Source organism: Homo sapiens, chromosome 7, assembly GCF_000001405.40.
Source record: "Homo sapiens chromosome 7, GRCh38.p14 Primary Assembly".
In the NCBI taxonomy this organism is placed as follows: Eukaryota; Metazoa; Chordata; class Mammalia; order Primates; family Hominidae; genus Homo; species Homo sapiens.
In genome coordinates this window covers 12,512,980-12,534,510 of record NC_000007.14, presented here as the reverse complement: position 1 = coordinate 12,534,510, position 21,531 = coordinate 12,512,980, and the positions used below count along the sequence as shown (strand labels likewise).

At 38.3% G+C, this 21,531-nt stretch overlaps 1 protein-coding gene across 8 annotated transcripts in view, besides 1 other annotated feature; it reads right to left on the bottom strand.

The window, feature by feature from the left end:
- Window positions 1-21,531, bottom strand: part of C7orf78 (chromosome 7 open reading frame 78) — a 58,845-nt gene that overhangs the window by 7,678 nt on the left and 29,636 nt on the right. For 4 of the 8 annotated variants that reach the window (NM_001386512.1, XM_047419720.1, XM_047419721.1 and 1 more), the window contains 4 exons: window positions 11,085-11,540; window positions 8,607-8,691; window positions 5,467-5,609; window positions 3,419-3,498 (listed from right to left, as the gene is read on the bottom strand). In NM_001386512.1, the coding sequence (NP_001373441.1) occupies window positions 3,419-3,498; window positions 5,467-5,609; window positions 8,607-8,691; window positions 11,085-11,387 (611 nt within the window). In that variant the 5' untranslated portion in view covers window positions 11,388-11,540. The remainder of the gene's footprint in view (window positions 1-3,418; window positions 3,499-5,466; window positions 5,610-8,606; window positions 8,692-11,084; window positions 11,541-21,531) is intronic. The other 4 variants (NR_136261.1, NM_001386513.1, NR_136262.1 and 1 more) reach the window with 2 other exon arrangements.
- Window positions 15,211-15,310: an enhancer, noted in NCBI's record as "active region_25664". NCBI's record gives its function as "activates an Ori minimal core promoter by ATAC-STARR-seq in GM12878 lymphoblastoid cells {active_cell/tissue: GM12878}" and the evidence as "EXISTENCE:reporter gene assay evidence [ECO:0000049][PMID:35858748]".

The window sequence follows — 21,531 nt, the reverse complement described above, 5'->3', positions numbered from 1 at the left end:
AGTTTGTAGTTTTAATGTTTCAAGTAGAACATTCAATAATTTTTTCTTTATAGATAGTGTTTTTGTGGTTCTTTTAAAGATATCATTTAATTCTCCAAATGTATTGCAGAAAGGTTATTGTTTTCTTTTCACATTTAGGTCTGTAATCCACATGAATTTACTTCTTTATGCACGATGTGAAATAGAAGTCATATATATTTCTTATCCTGAATTTTTCATGGCTGAACATAATCTTAAATTACGGAAAATTTTTAAATTTGCTTACATAGCTTTTTCATGGCTGAATGTGAGTTTAAATTATAGAAATGACAGGGCTAGTACAAATGAAATGTTGAAAATCTATAGGCTCTGCCAAAGTTGTTCTCAAGCTGAGGGGAGGGAGATCCAACACAGCATATTTAAAATTCATGATTTGAGAAAAATAAAGCCATTTTATTTGAACCTTCATAGGGATCTGTGTGCTAAATATATCAAATATTTGTAAAAAATGAAAAAATAAGAGGAACTACAACTTCAGATGAAAACATTTCTATTTTGAGAAGCCTGTGAAATACTGAGGTAGATTTGCTTTTGAAGTATGCTTCCCAGTGACACCTATGAAAGTTGAAGTTCTGACTGAGAATTCATAGTGTTACAGGCAGCAGTAATAATCTATGATTTTCTGTAACCACTATAAGAAACTTTTGGTGGCTGGGGGCTAGGTATGGTGGCTCACGCCTGTAATCCTAGCACTTTGGGAGGCCGAGACAGGTGGATCACGAGGTCAGGAGATCGAGACCATCCTGGCTAACGTGGTGAAACCTTGTCTCTACTAAAAACACAAAAAATTAGCTGGGCGTGGTGGCGGGCACCTGTAGTCCCAGCTACTCTGGAGGCTGAGGCAGGAGAATGGTGTGAACCCGGGAGGTGGAGCTTGCAGTGAACTGAGATCGTACCACTGCACTCCAGCCTGAGCAACAGAGCGAGACTCCATCTCAAAGAAAAAAAAAAAAAAAAAAGAAACCTTTGGTGGCTGGGCGCTGTGGCTCACACCTGTAATCCCAGCACTTTTGGAGGCTGAGGCAGGTTGATCACCTGAGGTCAGGAGTTCGAGACCAGCCTGGCCAACATGGCAAACCCCTGTCTCTACTAAAAATACAAAAATTAGGTGGGTATGGTGATGGGAACCTGTAATCCCAGCTACTCAGGAGGCTGAGGCAGGAGAATCATTTGAACCTGGGAGGTGAAAGTTGCTGTGAGCTGAGATCACACCACTGCACTCCAGCCTGGGTGACAGAGCGAGTCTGCATCTCAAAAACAAACAAACAAAACAACAACAACAACAAAAGAAACTTTTGCTGATGGACTACCATGCCATTTTCTTTTATGTTGAGCCACCAATTACCAAGCTCAAGCACATCAGTTATAGAGGAGAAGCTCCCACTATGCTACAGGAATCAAGAATTTTATATATGTACAGCGGGATGTTTGCAATTTAAGATGACCATTTTGTAAACTTGGTAAGGATAAGTCTACATCCTAAATCATTAGTAGGATGACTCTATATCCACCACTTAAAACAAATTCTTACCCATCTGGAGACAGCTTTCTGGTCACATATCTACTCTTTTTATATTCATCTGTCCTGTGGTCCTCCTAGAGATAGCTGTCTGCTGACTGTTCACTCTGTGTACTCCCTCATAGAAATCCAAAGATCAATCTTACTGAGTAGCCTCTCTCATCTTCCAGAAAGCTCTAGACATTATATATATTTTATATTGTATGCAAAAAAAGCATAGTTTTGAATTGTTATTCATAAAATACTTAGATAGCAAGTACTAAGTGTCGTGTGCTGTATTCCAAGTGTTTCACAAATGCAAACTTCGACTATTCATAGTGGTACAGGAGTTAAGAAAAAATTAATCAGGCAGATAGGGTATGGGAGGCTTCAGTAAGGTTTTTCTTTTTCTTTTTTTTTTTTTTGAAACAGAGTCTCACTCTGTCATCCGGGCTGGTGTGCAGTGGCACAATGTTGGCTCACTGCAACCTCTGCCTCCCAGGTTCAAGTGATTCTCCTGCCTCAGCCACCTAAGGAGCTGGGATTACAGGCGCCCACCATTACACCCAGCTAATTTTTTGTATTTTCAGTAGAGACAGGGTTTCACCATGTTGGTCAGGCTGGTCTCGAACTCCAGACCTCGTGATTCACCCACCTTGACCTCCCAAAGTGTTGGGATTACAGGCGTGAGCCACCATGCCCGGCCAGGTTTTTCTTTTTAATGAAAAGCAGCCCCAAATCATTTCCTAAAAAAGAGCAGCCTGTAAAATTGAGCTGCAGACACAGACAAGCAAGCTAGAAGCTTCCACAGGTGAATGCTGGCCTGTAGGAAATAACTACCTGGGACCAGGCATGTTCAAAATGGCGGCTCCATCTTCCCTTCCCTTTGCCAGCCACATGTACAGTAAGGAGCAGACAAGATGGCACTGGTCAGTGGAGAGTCCATTTGCATAATAAGATTAGGGTGGGGTGGCCAGCCTAGGCTATGTAAATGTCATATCTAATCGAATCAATCTGTGGGCTCTATGTAAATCAGACACCGCCTCCTCCACCCTGCCTATAAAATCTGCTGCAGTAGGCCTACTTTCCCCTTTTTCCGATGTTTCTCTCTCTCTGGAAAGGAGCTGCTCTCCTTTCTCCTTTCTTCTATTAAACTTTCTGCTCCTTAACCCACCCACATGTGTCTGTGTCCTGAATTCTTTCTCAACACAAGACAACGAACCATGGTTAATTCCCCAGACAATGCAGCCATTTCAATGGTAACTCTGCAAAGTTGGTACTATTATTACTGACATTCTACAGATGAGAAAACTAAGCCACAGGTAATGTTACTTTTCCATGGTCATGCAAGGCCATATCTATATTATCATTAACAATAATAGTAATAATTGAATCAAGAAGATATGAGGGACTGTGCCAGCAGTTTGTATATATCATCTTATTTAATTCTCCAAAAACCTGAGAAAATAGGATCAGAAAATTTAAGCAAATCATCCAAGATCACAAATTACAGGTGGATTACTCTTAATTTGAATTCATTTCACCAAACTCAAAGCCCAAACTCTACTACATTAATCTGCCCTCCTCCCCACTTCTCAGAGATGACATTGACATGTGAATAAAGAGAGCTGTGAGAGGTGATTATGCACGTAGGAAACAGGTTGCAATGAAATTCTCAAATAATAATTATTTGATAATGGGATTGGATTCTTTCAGGCTCCACTTAAAACAGTTAAGCACCATGCAACTATTTCACTTATAGTTCCTATGACAGTAGAGCACTTATATGATAAAATATGTTTTATTTAAAACAGAAATTGAGTAGTAATGTTAAAGAGTTAATATAAGTATCTAACAACAAATCCTAATTTTTTTGCCCACCTGCTCTTGCATATCTTTGTAAACTTTTCTTCCACACGATCCATAAATGCACTGTATGCATCACGCTGCCTTCTATGTCTCTGAAGGAAGATGGTACAAAGGAAGTTAGTAAAAGCAGACATGTATTAACTTTAATTGTTTACTTGTTAAAATTTGCTGTTTAATAATCTTTGCTTTAAAAGTGTATCTGTATTCCAGATTCACATCTTGTTCTGCTTAGACATAAAGGGCTTACGAAGCATCCTTATGTGACTAGGGCAGAATTTCAGCCAGGGTAAAAGTATGTGTTCTCAACATTTTTTTCTACAAGAGTCTTTTCAGGCCTTCTCACATGAGTGTCACTCACTAAACTTCTCGTGATTTCCAATGAGATAAGAGGAAATTTGGGAAAAATTTCTTACAATATTTAAGCCTTTGTAAAACAAAAATAAAATTCTAAGGCCCCCAATCAGATGAATGGACCCCCTTCATGAGTGAGGGGACACAAAGAAACCTGAAAAAAAAGTTCAGGCCCTGATGGGAAGAGAAGGTGAGAAGGTGGGACATGGATCATTATACCCTCCTCCCTTTGGAATTCAGGCGCAACTCACCAGCGTTAACATTAAAACAGAGATCTTAAGACTGACAAAACAAACAGCTCTTTGCAGCAACAAAATACCGATTTCAGCCTGACTCTAGTGTCGCATCACATGACAGATAGCAGGCCCTGGAGGAAATAAAAGTATTTTACCCCCAAATATACTTTTTTGGCATCTTTCAAAATGGCCCTGCAAAGCTGTCTCTCTTTTGCAGACAGTCTCATATCTTTTAAGGTCTGAGAAGAGACCTCCACATCTATTGTCTCTGAAGCCTGCTACCTGGAGTCTTCGACTACATGACAAGAACCTTGGCTTCCACAACCCCCACTCTTTACCTTAACTCAAGCTGACTTAACAGACAAAGCTTAACTCTCAACCAGTTGCCAATTGGGGAATCTTTGAATCTGAGGTAGGAGGCGGGACTCAACTCCAGACCAGATGGAAGACTGGTTAAAATAGGGAAGAGGCATTGAAAGCATCTCTCCACGAGACAGCCCCACCATTGCTGTGGCAACATCCGGAAGGTACCACTTCTTTTCTAGGAATTTCTGGATAACCCACCCCTTAATTTGCATGTAGTTAAAAGTGGGTGTAAATATGACTGCAAAACTGCCCCTGAGCTGTGCGCGGAGCACACTGCCTATGGGTAGTCCTGCTTCGCGAGGAGCAGTACCTCTGCTGCTGTACTCAATAAAAGATGCCGTCTAACACCACAGGCCCGCCCTTGAATTCTTTCTTGGGTGAAGCCAAGAACGTTCCCGGCTATGCCCCAGTTTTGGGGCTTGCCCACCATGCATCAAATCTACTTATGACCTGGAAGCCTCCAAACTTCGAGATGTCCTGCATTTCCAGGTGAAACCAATGTATACCTTACATGTATTGATTTATGTCTTTGCCTGTAACTTCTATCTCCCTAAAATGTATAAAACCAAGCTGTAAACTAACCACCTTGGGCCACATGTTCTCAGAACCTCCTGAGACTGTGTTACAGGTCATGGTCACCAATTTGGCTCAGAATAAATCTCTTCAAATATTTTACAGAGTTTGGCTTCTTTCATCAACACTGTATTCCCTATAGCTATTACTTAAAATAACCATAAAAAGTATGTAGCATTACTAACCGACATTATAAATAATGAAAAAGGCTTAGTATCTTGTCTAAAGTTATTAGAAAGTAAAAGAACAGGGATACTCTGATCTCAGAAGCCATGCTTTTAACTACTATTCTATATTTTCCCACTGGAATACACTTATTCTTTTATCAAGATCTAGAAATAAAAGAAAAGAAAATCCAAAGTTCTAGATAATCCACTATTTGTATTTCACAAAAAAAGCAGCGGCTATATGCTTTATTTTTAAAGACAGAAATATATTTTACACTACAACAAATAAAAAACTCCTGCACTAAAGCAATTGTCGACAACAGTGCTGGAGACATTTTCCAACAGCTATAGAGAAAGTCAAACTCACTGTATATGAAGCAGATCTAACAGGCCATGGGGCTTTCGTCAAAATTAGTTTTGAATCCCAGGTGCATTCACAATGCTTGTGGGTGATAAATCTTTCTGTACTAGTCTTCTGTTTATCATCTTTCGGTAACTGGTACCCATGTACTAGAGATAGGAAGACAAATGAGAGGCTTAGCAATGGCACGTGTCTTTGTTCATGATGTCTCTCAGATGTATCATTTTTGGAGATCAGGACCCAGGAGTGGTAAGTCGCTGGATAATTTATAGATGTAAATCTAAACAAAACTTTTCTTATTCTTTCTGCCAGTCCTGCTGGAGTTAATTTTGTCTTTCTTCAAACTCCAACTCCAATCCCACCTTTTATTTCTCTGGACCCATCGTTCTAAAGTGTCTCCTGTGGGATGGTATATTTTGCACTCTACCTTAAGTTTTCCTTAAAATATGTTTGAAGTCAGGGGCTGCGTCTTACAAAGAATCTCTGGCATTTTCTACCAAAGTGAGTGACACATAGCATATACTAAGAAAGCTGACATTTTCCATTTCAATTACACAGCTAGATGGCATTTTCTACCAAAGTGAGTGACACATAGCATATACTAGGAAAGCTGACATGTTCCATTTCAATTACACAGCTAGATGGCATTTTCTACCAAAGTGAGTGACACATAGCATATACTAGGAAAGCTGACATGTTCCATTTCAATTACACAGCTAGATGGCATTTTCTACCAAAGTGAGTGACACATAGCATATACTAGGAAAGTAGATATGTTCCATTTCAATTACACAGCTAGATGGCATTTTCTACCAAAGTGAGTGACACATAGCATATACTAGGAAAGTAGACATGTTCCATTTCAATTACACAGCTAGATGGCATTTTCTACCAAAGTGAGTGACACATAGCATATACTAGGAAAGCTGACATGTTCCATTTCAATTACACAGCTAGATGGCATTTTCTACCAAAGTGAGTGACACACAGCATATACTAGGAAAGCTGACATGTTCCATTTCAATTACACAGCTAGATGGCATTTTCTACCAAAGTGAGTGACACTTAGCATATACTAGGAAAGCTGACATGTTCCATTTCAATTACACAGCTAGATGGCATTTTCTATCAAAGTGAGTGACACATAGCATATACTAGGAAGCTGATATGTTCCATTTCAATTACACAGCTAGATGGCATTTTCTACCAAAGTGAGTGACACATAGCATATACTAGGAAAGCTGACATGTTCCATTTCAATTACACAGCTAGATGGCATTTTCTACGAAAGTGAGTGACACATAGCATATACTAGGAAAGTAGACATGTTCCATTTCAATTACACAGCTAGATGGCATTTTCTACCAAAGTGAGTGACACATAGCATATACTAGGAAAGCTGACATGTTCCATTTCAATTACACAGCTAGATGGCATTTTCTACCAAAGTGAGTGACACTTAGCATATACTAGGAAAGCTGACATGTTCCATTTCAATTACACAACTAGATGGCATTTTCTACCAAAGTGAGTGACACACAGCATATACTAGGAAAGCTGACATGTTCCATTTCAATTACACAGCTAGATGGCATTTTCTATCAAAGTGAGTGACACATAGCATATACTAGGAAAGTAGATATGTTCCATTTCAATTACACAGCTAGATGGCATTTTCTACCAAAGTGAGTGACACACAGCATATACTAGGAAAGCTGACATGTTCCATTTCAATTACACAGCTAGATGGCATTTTCTACCAAAGTGAGTGACACATAGCATATACTAGGAAAGCTGACATGTTCCATTTGAATTACACAGCTAGGTGGCATTTTCTACCATAGTGAGTGACACATAGCATATACTAGGAAAGCTGACATGTTCCATTTCAATTACACAGCTAGGTGGCATTTTCTACCAAAGTGAGTGACACATAGCATATACTAGGAAAGCTGACATGTTCCATTTCAATTACACAGCTAGGTGGCATTTTCTACCATAGTGAGTGACACATAGCATATACTAGGAAAGCTGACATGTTCCATTTCAGTTACACAGCTAGATGGCATTTTCTACCAAAGTGAGTGACACATAGCATATACTAGGAAAGTAGACATGTTCCATTTCAGTTACACAGCTAGACGGCATTTTCTACCAAAGTGAGTGACACATAGCATATACTAGGAAAGTAGAGATGTTCCATTTCAATTACACAGCTAGATGGCATTTTCTACGAAAGTGAGTGACACATAGCATATACTAGGAAAGTTGACATGTTCCATTTCAATTACACAGCTAGATGGCATTTTCTACCAAAGTGAGTGACACATAGCATATACTAGGAAAGTTGACATGTTCCATTTCAATTACACAGCTAGATGACACTTTTATAAGTATAACACATGCTAAAATGTGTACAATATTTGTAAATAAATTATCTTAGTTTTACAGGTATAAAATTATTTGCTCGTTATTTTGAAAAAGAGGAAATAAAATGTAACTGTGATCTCACTATCCAGAGACAAACACTGTTAACATCTTATTGGTTAATTTATATATAATTATAATATGTAAATATAGCATTCAGATATTGTCCCTCCTAATCCAAATAAGAAATGCTAAATAATACAAATTAACTCTGAATTAACACTTAACAAATGGCACCATAACAGTAATTATAGCATGCATGTGTGTATGTTATTTCCATGTGTTTTTTAATACATTACTAAGTGCTTTTAGCAGATTTAATGCTCACAGTAATTCTATGATGTAGATTCAGTTGTTATCATCTGCATTTCCAGATAAGGAAACCAATAGATAGACAGTTTAGGTGATTTGGGGCAGTGAAGCCAAGATTCAAAGTTGCACAGCTGGGCTCCAGAGTTTATTCCCTTAAGCATTACACTCTATTTATTCTCTATACATGAGACATTGATTTACAAATATTATCTTTAATAATATAGTAACAGTTGTGGTAGAAAAGTAAACGTATTGTTGCAAATAATTAAAAGGACATTAAAAAATTTACCGTATTATTAAAGGTGATAATAAAATCCACCTATTTAGTTTTAAGCCTATGAATTTACTACTACTAATATGGAATGCAGAGTTTTTTTTCCAATATTCATAACATCTTAACAGCTTACCTGTACTTAAGTGTTGTGATTTAAATTTTAATCCAAAGGGGTCCTTTTCATAAGTTGTCTCAAAGTTTGGTAAACCAGGTTGGTACTAGATATGTAAAGGAAAGATTGCAATATTATTAATACATATTGTTTCTCATTGTAGTTGGAGTTTGATTTTTCCTAATATTAAATATTTCCTTGGTAAAACGTAATTTTGATGATTTTGTTGTGGCATTCAAATGTAGCATTTAAAACTTGTTTATGAAAATTTGAAAAAATGATCTAAGATTTAAATAGTGTATAAACAATTCATTTTTGTGGTAGAGAGGAGTACTTCAATTACCCTTTTGTGAAGTGATCAGAATTAGCATCTTAAACAGTGTGGAATTAAGGGAGTCTATTCAAAATTTAGATTAGTTAACCTAATCTTAAACTTGCAATCTTAAACTTAGCAACCTAATCTTAAACTTGATTGTAATTTATGACACATAGAATTGCATATTATTTTTCTGGAGCTGAACTTCTTTCAGACACATAGCAAAAACATTGAACAAAGCTAAATAATTTATCAAGCCTGGAAGAGAGTTACTGTTTTTTTATAAGCTACTACCAAAGCAGATTTTTTAGTGGTTTAATTGAACCAATTTGAACTGAAATAGAATTTGTACACTCCAAGAACTGATCAAATAAAACATCACAAAGGTCTCTACTCAAAAGCTAAGTAAACGTGGCACAAAACAGTGAGGGTACCAAGCAGAAATTAAACAGGGTTATATTCTTAATGAGTGACCTGCCACAAGCGTATAGAACAATATTAAAAGTTCCAAAGAAGGAGATTCTCTAATACAAGATTTTTCGCTCTTTAATTGAATACAACATGAGACCAAGTTCGTTTCAAAAAGCCTTCACTGAGGTTTAATTTGTAACAATACTGACATCTGGTGGTTACACAATTTATAACACTCTGCCTCCAATTCAGTCATTTATAGAAGCAAGTTAATTCAGCTAAAATAAAAATATTCCTTATTCCGTGAATTTTATTTACTCAAGTTTTTAAGTCTGTTATTAGTAAAATATTTATTTATTTATTTATTTATTATTATTTTTTGAGATGGAGTGCAGTGGTGAGATCTCGGCTCACTGCAACTTTCACCTCCCAAATTCAAGCGATTCTCTTGCCTCAGCCTCCCAAGTAGCTGGAATTACAGGCACGTGTTACCACACCTGGCTAATTTTTGTATTTTTAGTAAAGACGGGGTTTCACCATGTTGGTTAGGCTGGTCTCGAACTCCTGACCTCATGATCCTCCCACTGTGGCCTCCCAAAGTGCTGGGATTACAGGTATGAGCCACTGCTCCTGGCCTAGTAAGGTATTTAAATAAACCAGTAACATTTAATATTTAAATGACCTCCCTCATCTCCAAAAGGTAACATATGTTATTTACTATGAATGGAAATATTTACATGACCTCCCTCATCTCTAAAAGGTAACATATATTATTTACTATGAATGAAAATATTTAGATGCCCTGAATAAGTAAAGAGAGTTATTGACTATAGCTCCCTGTATTTTCCAAATTTTATCCTAATAGCTCATAGAGTTAACATTCATCGAATACCTCAACATTTCAGATTCTGTTGTGCTTTGCATATACTGTTTCGTTCGTTGCTTAAAATAACCATAAAAAGTATGTAGCATTATTAACCCACATTATAAATAATCAAAAAGGCTTAGTATCTTGTCTAAAGTTATTAGAAAATAAAAGAACAGGGATACTCTGATCTTAGAAGCCATGCTCTTAACTACTATTCTACATTTTCCCACTGGAATACACTTATTCTTTTATCTCACTATTTCTAGATCCTGTTCTATCAGTTCTACTGTTTAACTCTTTGCCTAGCAAGTCACATTTATGTTCTAAATTATAGATCTGAGAACAGAATATATTCACATTTTAGTGGAATTATATTTTGCATAAATATTTGACCTTATCTGCATCTCCATATACTTCATCACACTTTTAAATTATAAATCTAATTATTGCCCATATATTATTTAAATTATTAATCATCCAAAAGATTCATTAAAGTAATAGAATATCCCTTTTTAACTATTTTCATTCATTCACCAATTTATTCCACAAATTTATTTTATTAGTAGTAGGTTATAAACTCCTGGCAACTGATGTCTGTTCTCCAATCATATCTAAACCCAACCTGTTCTCTTGAAACCTAAGAAAGCCTATCTCAGAGTTGGCCACTTGACCTGGCAGATAAAACCTCATCAGAATCAATCAGGTTCTTACCTCTCTGTTCTATCATTTATTGCTAAATGTGAATTGTATTGTACCATGAGAAAAAAAGGCAGCATTATACACATTATATACACATACCATTTTCCTATATGTAATAGTTTTTCTCATTAAGAAATGAATAAAAAATAATACATAGTTCCCCTTATCTATCTTAAATAGTTTTTATTCAAATGCTCTTTTTTACCTGTCGAAAGTCATGTGGTTTGGGATTGACATATACACCCCTTGGATATTGTCCACTCTTCACAAACATTAACTTTGCTTTTTGTAAATCCAGATGTGGAAATGTAGTTATAAATTTAGGAGCTGTAACCTCCTTAGGATGATTCCTTATGCTGGGCAAGTGAAGCATTGTTTCTGGAAAACTGATTTTTTTCCTCCTTTTTTCTTCCTTAATTGGTTTTGATGATCTTTCTGGAATTCTCAAAGATGTATACAGTTTGTAGCTAAAATCAGGAGGCTTTATTTCCCATACATTAACTTTCATTTTACATTGTGGAGGTTGCAGAACACTTTTTTTCCATTTGGAGTTGAGATCCTGTCGTGAAGGATATTGCAGCCTCTTTGCAATATCCCTATCTCTTGTGCCTCTCTGAGACTCATGGTATATTATGTGGGGGGCATTTTCACATGGAGGAATCTGCAACACACATGGAAATAGGTGAAGCTTGTCACTATAGCAATGGTGTACTCAACATTTTCTCTCCAGGACAAGTTAATCTTTGAAAAATTTATGAAGCAGGAAAAAGCTCAGAAATGACAGGGAATATGTATGGAGGAGAAGGAAAAAAATATCATTGCTGCAAATATTTATTCAGCACCTTTGTCACAGCAGTCAGTGCACTAAGGGCTGGTAATTTTTTAAATGATTGATGTAAAATCCATGTCCTTAAGTAACCTACTTAAAAGACAAACATAAAAGCCAAAAATAAAACCTGTGTAATAGGATAGATATTGCAAGTATTATGAGAAGCAAGGAGATTGGTCAGCTAGCTTTATCAAGAAAATAGACATGATGTCAAAAGCTGTTATTTGGATCGATCTTGAGAGGTAAGTAGAAACATTCCAGGTGGTAAAGGAAGGCAATAACATTTGACCTAGAAGTAGAAAGTATGTGAAATTTGTCATTGCCTATTTCTAGGATATCTATGGCTGCCTAAACCATCATGAGTACATTGTAATTACTGCTATTGAAACTTATAGATGAGAATCATGCATTTGCTTTTTTGCTGACCAGCTAACCAGTGACATGGAAATCATTATTACACTTCTCAGATTTAATGACATTATCAATATGTTACTGGATGATTCAATGAATTCAGAATCTCCTTGGAAAGGCTAATTACCAATCAGAATATATTTGGTGAAGTAGAAATAGTACAACAATGCTGGTTCCTGGGAAATAAGGACCTGAGGTGAGGATGAATTTCCTTCTCTTGTGCTAGAATTTTGTGTTGTTTCATAATAAAATCAAAATAGAGGATCATCAAAATTCTAAATGTTAATTTTCAATATGCTAAAGTTGCAAGTGAAGGGAAACTACTATGAATGAAAGGAAACTACTCTTCATATATGTTGAAAATGTCCATTTTCAAAAATTTGTAATATTTTGCAGTGATGGATTGTTTTCCAAATACTCTTATAAATATTTTTATTTTATAAAGGGCTATGCCATATTGAGAGAAAAACAAGAAGCATGTAAAAGGAGCATAGCTTCTCTGTGAGGAGACAGTGAAAAATGATATGATAGGAAAAACTAGAAAAATTGGAGTTATAGTATTAAAAGTCTTTTATGCCACACTAAGAAGTTTTAAATTCATCCAAGAGGGAAAAGGGAACAAATAAAATATTTTGAACAGGAAAATGGTTAGCAAGTTATTTGTATTTCAGAAAGATCAGTGTGATAGCAGTATGGAGGGTGGCCTCAAAATAAAAAATGAAAGCTAAGCCAAAAAAAAAAAAAAAAGCCCAAACCCAACATAGCAACGATTTAGGTGACATGATAAAAAACCTAAACAAAGATGTAGCATGAAGATGAGAAAGGGAGGTTGTTCTTATGAGCTACTTAGCAAATCTAATATCTTGAGCTTTGTTTCACATATATTGCAGTTTATTAACCAAAATAAGGAATAAAGGAGAAGAAACAGTTTATGAAAGAAGGTCATATAATGGGTAGATTTCAATAAAATGTAAGCCCCATACTAATCAGAAAGAAAAAAATGACAGTAGATACACAAATGAAAAAGAGAAAGGAATCAAAGTTTATCACTACAGAAAACAACCAAGCCACAAAGATAAACAATGAGAAGGGAAGAAAGAAAAAATAATATATACAAAACAACCAGAAAACAATTAACAAAATCAGAGAGTATGTCTTCAAGTGTTAACAATAACTTTCAGGGTAAACAAGTTAATTTCCCCAATTAAAAAACGTAGATTGACTGAATGGATTAAAAAAGGACTCAATTATTTGCTACCTACAAGAACCTCACTTCACCTGTAAAGACACACATAGACTGAAAATGAAGGGATAGAAAATGATGTTCCATACAAATGGAAACCAAAGCTAAACAGAAGTAACTATACTTATTTCAGATAAAATAGACTTCAAATAAAAAAATGTAAAAAGAGACAAAGAAGGCCATTACATAATGATTAAGAAGTATATTAAGGAAGAAGATATAACAATAGCAAATATATGTGCATCCAGCACCCAAATATATAAAACAAATATTATTTGATCTAAAGGGAGAGATAGACAGCAATACAATAATAGTAAGGGACCTCAAAACTCCACTTTTAGAAATAAACAGAACTTCTAGACAAAATCCATGAAGAAGTATCAAAGTTAAACTGCATTCTAGAGCAAATAAACCTAACAGACGTTTACAGAACATTCCACCCAGTAACTAACAATGTATGTTCTTCTCATTCGCAAATGTAACCGTCTCCAGGATAGATCATAAGTTAGGCCACAAAGCAAGTCTAAACAAATTAAAAAGGATTAAAAACATAGAAAGTATCTTTTCTGACTACAGTGGAATAAAACTAGAAATCAATAACAGAAAGAACTTTGGAAACTATACAAATACATGGAAATTAAGCAACACGCTCTTGAATAACAAATGAGGCAAAGAAAAAATTTAAAAATTTATTGAAACAAATGAAAATGGAAATACAACACACCAAAACCTATGGGATACAGCAAAAGCAGTTCTAAGAAGGAAGTTTACAGCAATAAATATCCGCATCAATAAATTAGAAATATCTTGAATGTAGAGACAGCTTCAAGATGCTGACTAGAGGCATCGGGCACTTGCCTTCTCCAGACAGAAGAAACAAAACTTAACCAAATAGATAATCACATTTCAGATAAAACATCTAGTAGAGAACACCGGAGTCCAAAAGAGAAATATCTGAGACACAGAAGGGGAAGAAAGCAAGGGGTTAGCTTGGCCAAGATTGGCTGTGAGCCCATAGGGGCTCCTTTTTGCAGAGAAAGGGTAAGTGGGATACCCTCATTGGCTTACATCCTCACTGTGGACTGCTGCAATCCCAACCATTGGAGAGCTCCTGTACCCACATTAACCCTAAGACTAGTGTGGGTGTTCATCTGGAGACCCAATGAGGGCATTGTACCAGATAGAAAATGCACTGGGTCACACACACTCCTGAGATCTAAGTGGCTACAGCATGGCACCACTGTGAGAGCCTAGCCATCACCATTCTGCATCCTGCTCTGGGAACAACAGCTGTCCCATCTCCACATCCTGGGAACCTCTGTTTATATCCCCTGGTGTCCACCCAGAGGGCTACGGAGGCACAGCATTGGCTGAGCCCAAAGATGCTTGGGGTCCCCAGTACTTTAGTCCAACAGAGTACTACTCCCTGGGGAAAAAAAATGGTGCAGCACACCAAGGAGGTGGCCACTGGGCACAAAGGAAGCCAAATTACATGCTTTCCAGAGCTGATGAGCTTTCTTTCTGGGGCTTTGATAAGTGACTCCACCTCTAACTGTGTCACATATTGTACTTGGGTTCACAGTGAGAGAGTGGGATCTTTCCCTCTACATGTGCACAGTGCCATAGCAGTTGTTGCCACTGGGAGCCAAGGCAAGCGGGTCTGAGAGCTGTCTGACTGGAGCTGGAAGGAGTGACCACAACCCTGCTGGCAGAGTGGACTCTGTGCTAGGATTTATGTATAGAGAATGGGATCTCTTTCCTTCTCTGCATTTCACTGCAGCTGCAGCTGCTCTTGCTGCCACTAGGGGCTGGATGGGCAAGAGAGGGCTGCTTGTCTGGGGCTGTGAGTTGCAACCATGTCCCCATTAGCAGTGTGGCCTGTGTTAAAGCTCACTCACAGAGGGTGGGGTTCTTTCTCACTTCTGCATGGTGCTGTTGCAGCTGCTGCCTCCAAGAGCAAATAAGTCTGAGAGCTACATGTTTGGGTTGTGGGTGGTGACCCTGTCCCCCTGCAGTATGGTCATGTGCTCTGGCTACCAATAGAGGGTGGGATCCTCATCTCCATCTTCTGCACAGTGCTGAAGCCACTACTGCAGCAGGGAGCTGAAACAAGTGCAACCTAGAACTGGAGACTCCCTGTGCCAATCCAGCCCATACCAGCAGCACGGGTTCTGTACTCTAGTGCACATCCTCAAATCAGGCTCCTCACACTCACCACTGCAGTCACTGCTGCTGCCAGAGATTAAATATTCACTTCCCAGAGCCTGAGAGCTGCTTGTAGGAGACTGCTGATAGCAACCTACCCATACAAACAGCAGGGCCACTATGCTTTCTAGTACAAGCCCTAAGGTCAGGTATCCACACCAACCATCACAGACTGTCTCAACCTGCCTACTACAGCCTATCCCCCTGCACACCATCAGGCGCCTGAGGACAGACACTCCCAAATTGGCACCACACCTCCAAGCCTGAGCACACCACCCAAGGACTTGGTGATTATTCTATCTATTCCACCACCTATACCATCTATTTTATCCCCCTAGGAACCTGAAGATGGGCCCACTCACCTTGCTGCCAACAGCACAAACACACACTCACATGTGCCATCTAGGAGCTCGGGGAGGGGTCTGCTCAGCCAATCACAGCCACTGCCAACACCAGTGAGCACTGCTCAGGAATAAGACAGTCATCTTACCACTGCTACTGCCATGGCCCACACCATGCTGTCTGCACATGGGGCTGAAAACCAGTACACCCACCTGGCTCACCACTGCCATTACCAGCATCTGGGCAAGACATGTGGAGGCCTGATAATTGGCTCAACTGGACAACTAACACCAGTGCCAGCATACACCACCCAGGGGGCTAAAGGACAGGTATACTCAGCCTACTGCTGCAACCACTTGGGCCTGAAGACTGACCTACCTGCAATCCCTTTTCCCAGAAAATCTCCACCATAGCCTCCACTAATGACCCTAAGCCACTGAGGAAATCACAGATACCACTAACATTGTTTGTAGGCAAAGAAATCATATAGAGACTACACTACTGCACACATTCAGAATCAAAGCCAAATGGCCCCAACAAACATCATAGATAAATTTTTAGGAAAAAGCCCTAAACTCAAAAGAAAATTCAAAAAATTCAAAGAAGACATAGATGCATAGATATGTAGGGACACAGAAAACATGAAAGAGCAAGAAATATGACACCCCCAAAGGAATAAAATAATTCTCCAGCAACAGATCCCAATCAAAAAAATTTCACAAAATCCCAGAAAAAGAATTCAAAATACTGATTTTAAAGGAGCTCAGCAAGATACAGGAGAATGCTGAAAAACAATACAAAGAAATCAGAAAAAATAATTCAGGATATGAATGAGAAATTTACCAAAGAGAAAAATATGATAAAAAAGAGCAAATGGAAATTCTAGAACTGAAGAGTTCATTTAATGAACTACAAAATATATTTGAAAGCTCCAACAATAGATTAAGCAGAAGAAAGAATCTCAGAACTTGAAGACAGGTCTTTTGAAATAACCCAGTCAGACAAAAATGAAAAAACAAAGAATAAAAAAGAATGAATGAAGCATTCATAACATATGGGACACTATAAAGCAAATGATATATGAATTTTTGTTATCTCAGAAGGTGAGGAGAGGACAAAAGTGTTCAAAAACCTATTTAGCAGAATAATAGCTGAAAAGTTCCAAAGTCTAGCAAGAGATTTAGACATCATATTAATCTGTTTTCATGCTGCCGATAAAAACATACTTGAGACTGAGAAGAAAAAGAGGTTTAATTGGACTTACAGTTCCTCATGGCTGGGGAGGCCTCAGAATCATGGTGGGAGGTGAAAGGCACTTCTTACATGGCGGTGGCAAGAGAAAATGAGAAAGATGCAAAAGCGGACACCCCTGATAAAACCACCAGATCTTGTGAGACTTATTCACTACCACAAAAACAGTATCGGGGAAACTGCACCCATGATTCAAATTATCTTCCACCGAGTCCCTCCCATAACACATGGGAATTATGGGAGTACAATTCAAGATGAGATTTGGGTGGGGACACAGTTAAACTATGTCATTCCACCCCTGGCCCCTCCAAATCTCATGTCCTCACATTTCAAAACCAATCATGCCTTCCCAACAATCTCCCAAAGTCTTAACTCATTTCAGCATTAAACCCAAAAGTCTACAGTCCAAAGTCTCATCTGAGACAAGGCAACTCCCTTCCGCCTATGAGCCTGTAAAATCAAAAGCAAGCTAGTTACTTCCTTGATACAATGGGGGTACAGGTATTTGGTAAATACAGCAGTTCCAAATGGGAGAAAGTGGCCAAAACAAAGGGGTTACAGGGCCCATGCAAGTCTGAAATCCATCTGGGCAGTCAAATTTTAAAGCCCCAAAATGATCTCCTTTGACTCCAGGTCTCACATCCAGGTCATGCTGATGCAAGAGGTGGGTTCCCATGGTGTTAGGCAGCTCCTCCCCTGTGGCTTTGCAGGGTACAGCTTTCCTCCCAGCTGCTTTCACGGGCTGGCATTGAGTGTCTGTGGCTTTTCCAGGCACATGGTGCAAGCTGTCAGTGGATCTACCATTCTGGGATCTGGAGGATGGTATCACTCTTCTCATAGCTCTAGTAGGCCATGCCCCAGTGGGGACTCTGTGTGGGGCCTCCCACAGCACATTACCCTTCTGCACTGTCCTAGCAGAGGTTCTCCATGAGTGCCCCGCTCCTGCAGCAAACTTCTGCTTGGGCATTCATGCATTTTCACACATCTTCTGAAATCTAGGTGGAGGTTCCCAAACCCCAGTTCTTGACTTCTGTGCACTCGCAGGTTCAACACCATATGAAAGCTGCCAAGGCTTGGGGCTTGCACCCTCTGAAGCCATTGCCCAAGCTCTACATTGGCCCCTTACAGCCAGGGCTGGAGCATCTGGGACATAGGGCACCAAGTCCCTAGGCTGCACGTAGTACAGAGACCCTGGGCCTGGCCCACAAAACCATTTTCTCTTAGGTCTCTGGGCCTGTGATGGGAGGGTCTGCTGTGAAGACATCTGACATACCCTAGAGACATTTTCCCCATTCTCTTGGGAATTAACATTTGGCTCCTTGTTACTTATGTAAATTTCTGCAGCCAGGTTGAATTTCTCCTCAGAAAATGGGTTTTTCTTTTCTATCACATTGTCAGGCTGCAAATTTTCTGAACTTTTATGCTCTGCTTCCCTTATAAAACTGAATGCCTTTAACAGCATCGAAGTCACATCTTAAATGCTTGGCTGCTTAGAAATTTCTTCTGCCAGATACCCTAAATCTTCTCTCTAAAGTTCAAAATTCCACAAATCTCTAGGGCAGGAGCAAAATGCCACCCGTCTCTTTGCTAAAACAAAACAAGAGTCACCTTTGCTCCAGTTCCCAACAAGTTCCTCATCTCCATCTGAGACCACCTCAGTCTGGACCTTATTGTCCATATCACTATCAGGCTTTTGATCAAAGCCATTCAACAAGTCTCTAGGAATTTCCAAACTTTCACACATTTTCCTGCCTTCTTCGAAACCCTCCAAACCGTTCCAGCCTCTGCCTGTTACCCAATTCCAAAATTGTTTCCACATTTTCAGGTATCTTTTCAGCAACACCCCACTCTTCTGATACCAATTTAGTGTATTGGTCCATTTTCACACTGCTGATAAAGACATATCTGAGACTGGGAAGAAAATGAGGTTTAATTGGACTTACAGTTCCACATGGCTGGGGAGGCCTCAGAATTATGGTGGGAGGTGAAAGGCACTTTTTACATGGCAATGGCAAGAGAAAATGAGGAAGATGCAAAAGCAGAAACTCCTGATAAAACCATCATATCTCGTGAGACTTATTCACTATCACGAGAATAGTATGGGGGAAACTGCCTCTGTGATTCAAATTATCTCCCACTGGGTCCCTCACACAACACATGGGAATTATGGGAGTACAATTCAAGATGAGATTTGGGTGAGGACACAGCCAAACCATATTGACATGAAGACATAGTGTTAGCGAAGGCACAGTGATCTCCAAATGGAGACAGCACATTGTAGTTAAACTGTCTAAAGACAAGTTTATAAAAACAACAAGAGAAAAGCTTCTAGTTACCTATAAAGTTACCTCCATCAGACTAAGAGCAGATTTCTCATCAGAAACCTTACAGGAAAGGAAGGAATGGGATGATGTGTTCAGAGTGCTAAAAGAAAAAATCCTATCACCTATGGATACTATATCTAAGAAAATTATCCTTCATACAGGATAAATAAAGTCTTTCCCAGAGAAGCAAATTTTGAGGGAATTCATCATCACTAGACTGGTTCTACAAAAAATGCTCAAGGGAGTCCTAAACTTGAAAGGGAAAGGATCAGTCATCATCATGAAAACATAAGTAAGTGTAAAATCACTGGTAAAGCAAACACACAAACGAGGAAGAGAAAGGAGTCAAATAGTACCACAACAGAAAACTACAAGACCCTATGGGCAAATAATAAAAGAAAAAAGAACAAGTAAAGAATATATAAAACAGCCAGAAAACAATGAACAATATGACAGAAAGAAAACTTCAAAAATCAATAATAACCTTGAAAGTAAATGAATTAAAATCTCCACTTAAAAGATTTACACTGGCTGAACAGACACAAAAACATGATTCAACTATATTCTGCTTACAAGAAACTCAACTTATCTGTAAAGACATACATGGAAAATACAGGTATGGGAAAAGATATTCTATTAAAAAAAAAGCAAAGAAGAGTAGCTGTACTTATATCAGATAAAACAGACTAAGTTAAAAACAGTAAAAATAAAAGATAAAGAATATTGTTATATAATGGTAAAGGGGAATTAGTTCAGCAAGAGAACATAACAATTCTAGGTATATGTGCACCCAACACTGGAGCACCCAGATCTATAAAGCAAATTTTACTAAATCTAAAGAGAGACATAGATTCCAATATAATAATAGTGGGATACTTGAACACCCCACTCTGAGCATTAGACAGATCATGTGGACAGAAAATCAGTAAAGAAACATTGAATTTAAATGAACCTAACAGGCATTTACAGAACATTTTCTCCAACAACTACAGAATAGGCATTTTACTTTTTTTTTCTTTTTTCTTTTGAGACGGAGTCTCGCTCTGTTGCCCAGGCTGGAGTGCAGTGGCGTGATCTCAGCTCACTGCAAGCTCCGCCTCCTGGGTTTACACCATTCTCCTGCTTCAGCCTCCCTAGTAGCTGGGACTACAGGCACCCACCACCACGCCCAGCTAATTTTTTGTATTTTTAGTAGAGACGGGGTTTCACCGTGTAAGCCAGGATGGTCTCAATCTCCTGACGTCGTGATCCACCCGCCTCGGCCTCCCAAAGTGCTGGGATTACAGGCATGAGCCACCGCGCCCGGCCCAGAATAGGCATTCTTCTTATCAGCACTTGGAACAGTCTTCAAAATGGGCCACATGTTAAACCACAAAAGATGTCATAACAAATTTTAAAACTGAAGTTATATTAAGTATTTTCTCAACCACAGTGGAATAAAACTAGAAATAAATACCAGGGGAACTCCAAAAACCATACAAATACATGGAAACTAAACAAAATTCTACTGAACAACAAATGAGTCAAAGAAGAAAATTTTTTTAATTTAAAAATTTCTTGATACAAATGCAAATGAAAATACCACATACCAAAAGCTGTGGGATACAGCAAAAGAAGTACTTGACTGGAACTTTGTAGCACAAACAGCTACATAAAAACAAGAGCAACAACAGCAGCAACGACAACCAAAAAAACAAAGATTTTAAATAAACAACTTAAGGCTGTACCTGGAAGAACTAGAAAAGCAACAAGAAACCAAACCCAAAAATAGCAACAAAAAAAGAAAGAAGGAAAGAAAGAGAGAAAGACAGAAGAAAGAAAGAAAAAGAAAGAAAGAAAGAAAAAAGGTAAGAGCAGAACTAAATGAAATAAAAACTAAAAGAAATACAGAGAATCAATGAAATACAAGGCTGAGTTTTTGAAAAGATAGATAAAATCGATGAACCACTAGATAGAATAACCAAGAATAAAAAAGACTCTAAGAAACAAAATCAGAAATTAAAAAGGAGACTTACAACTGATGCCAGAGAAATATAAACGATCATCA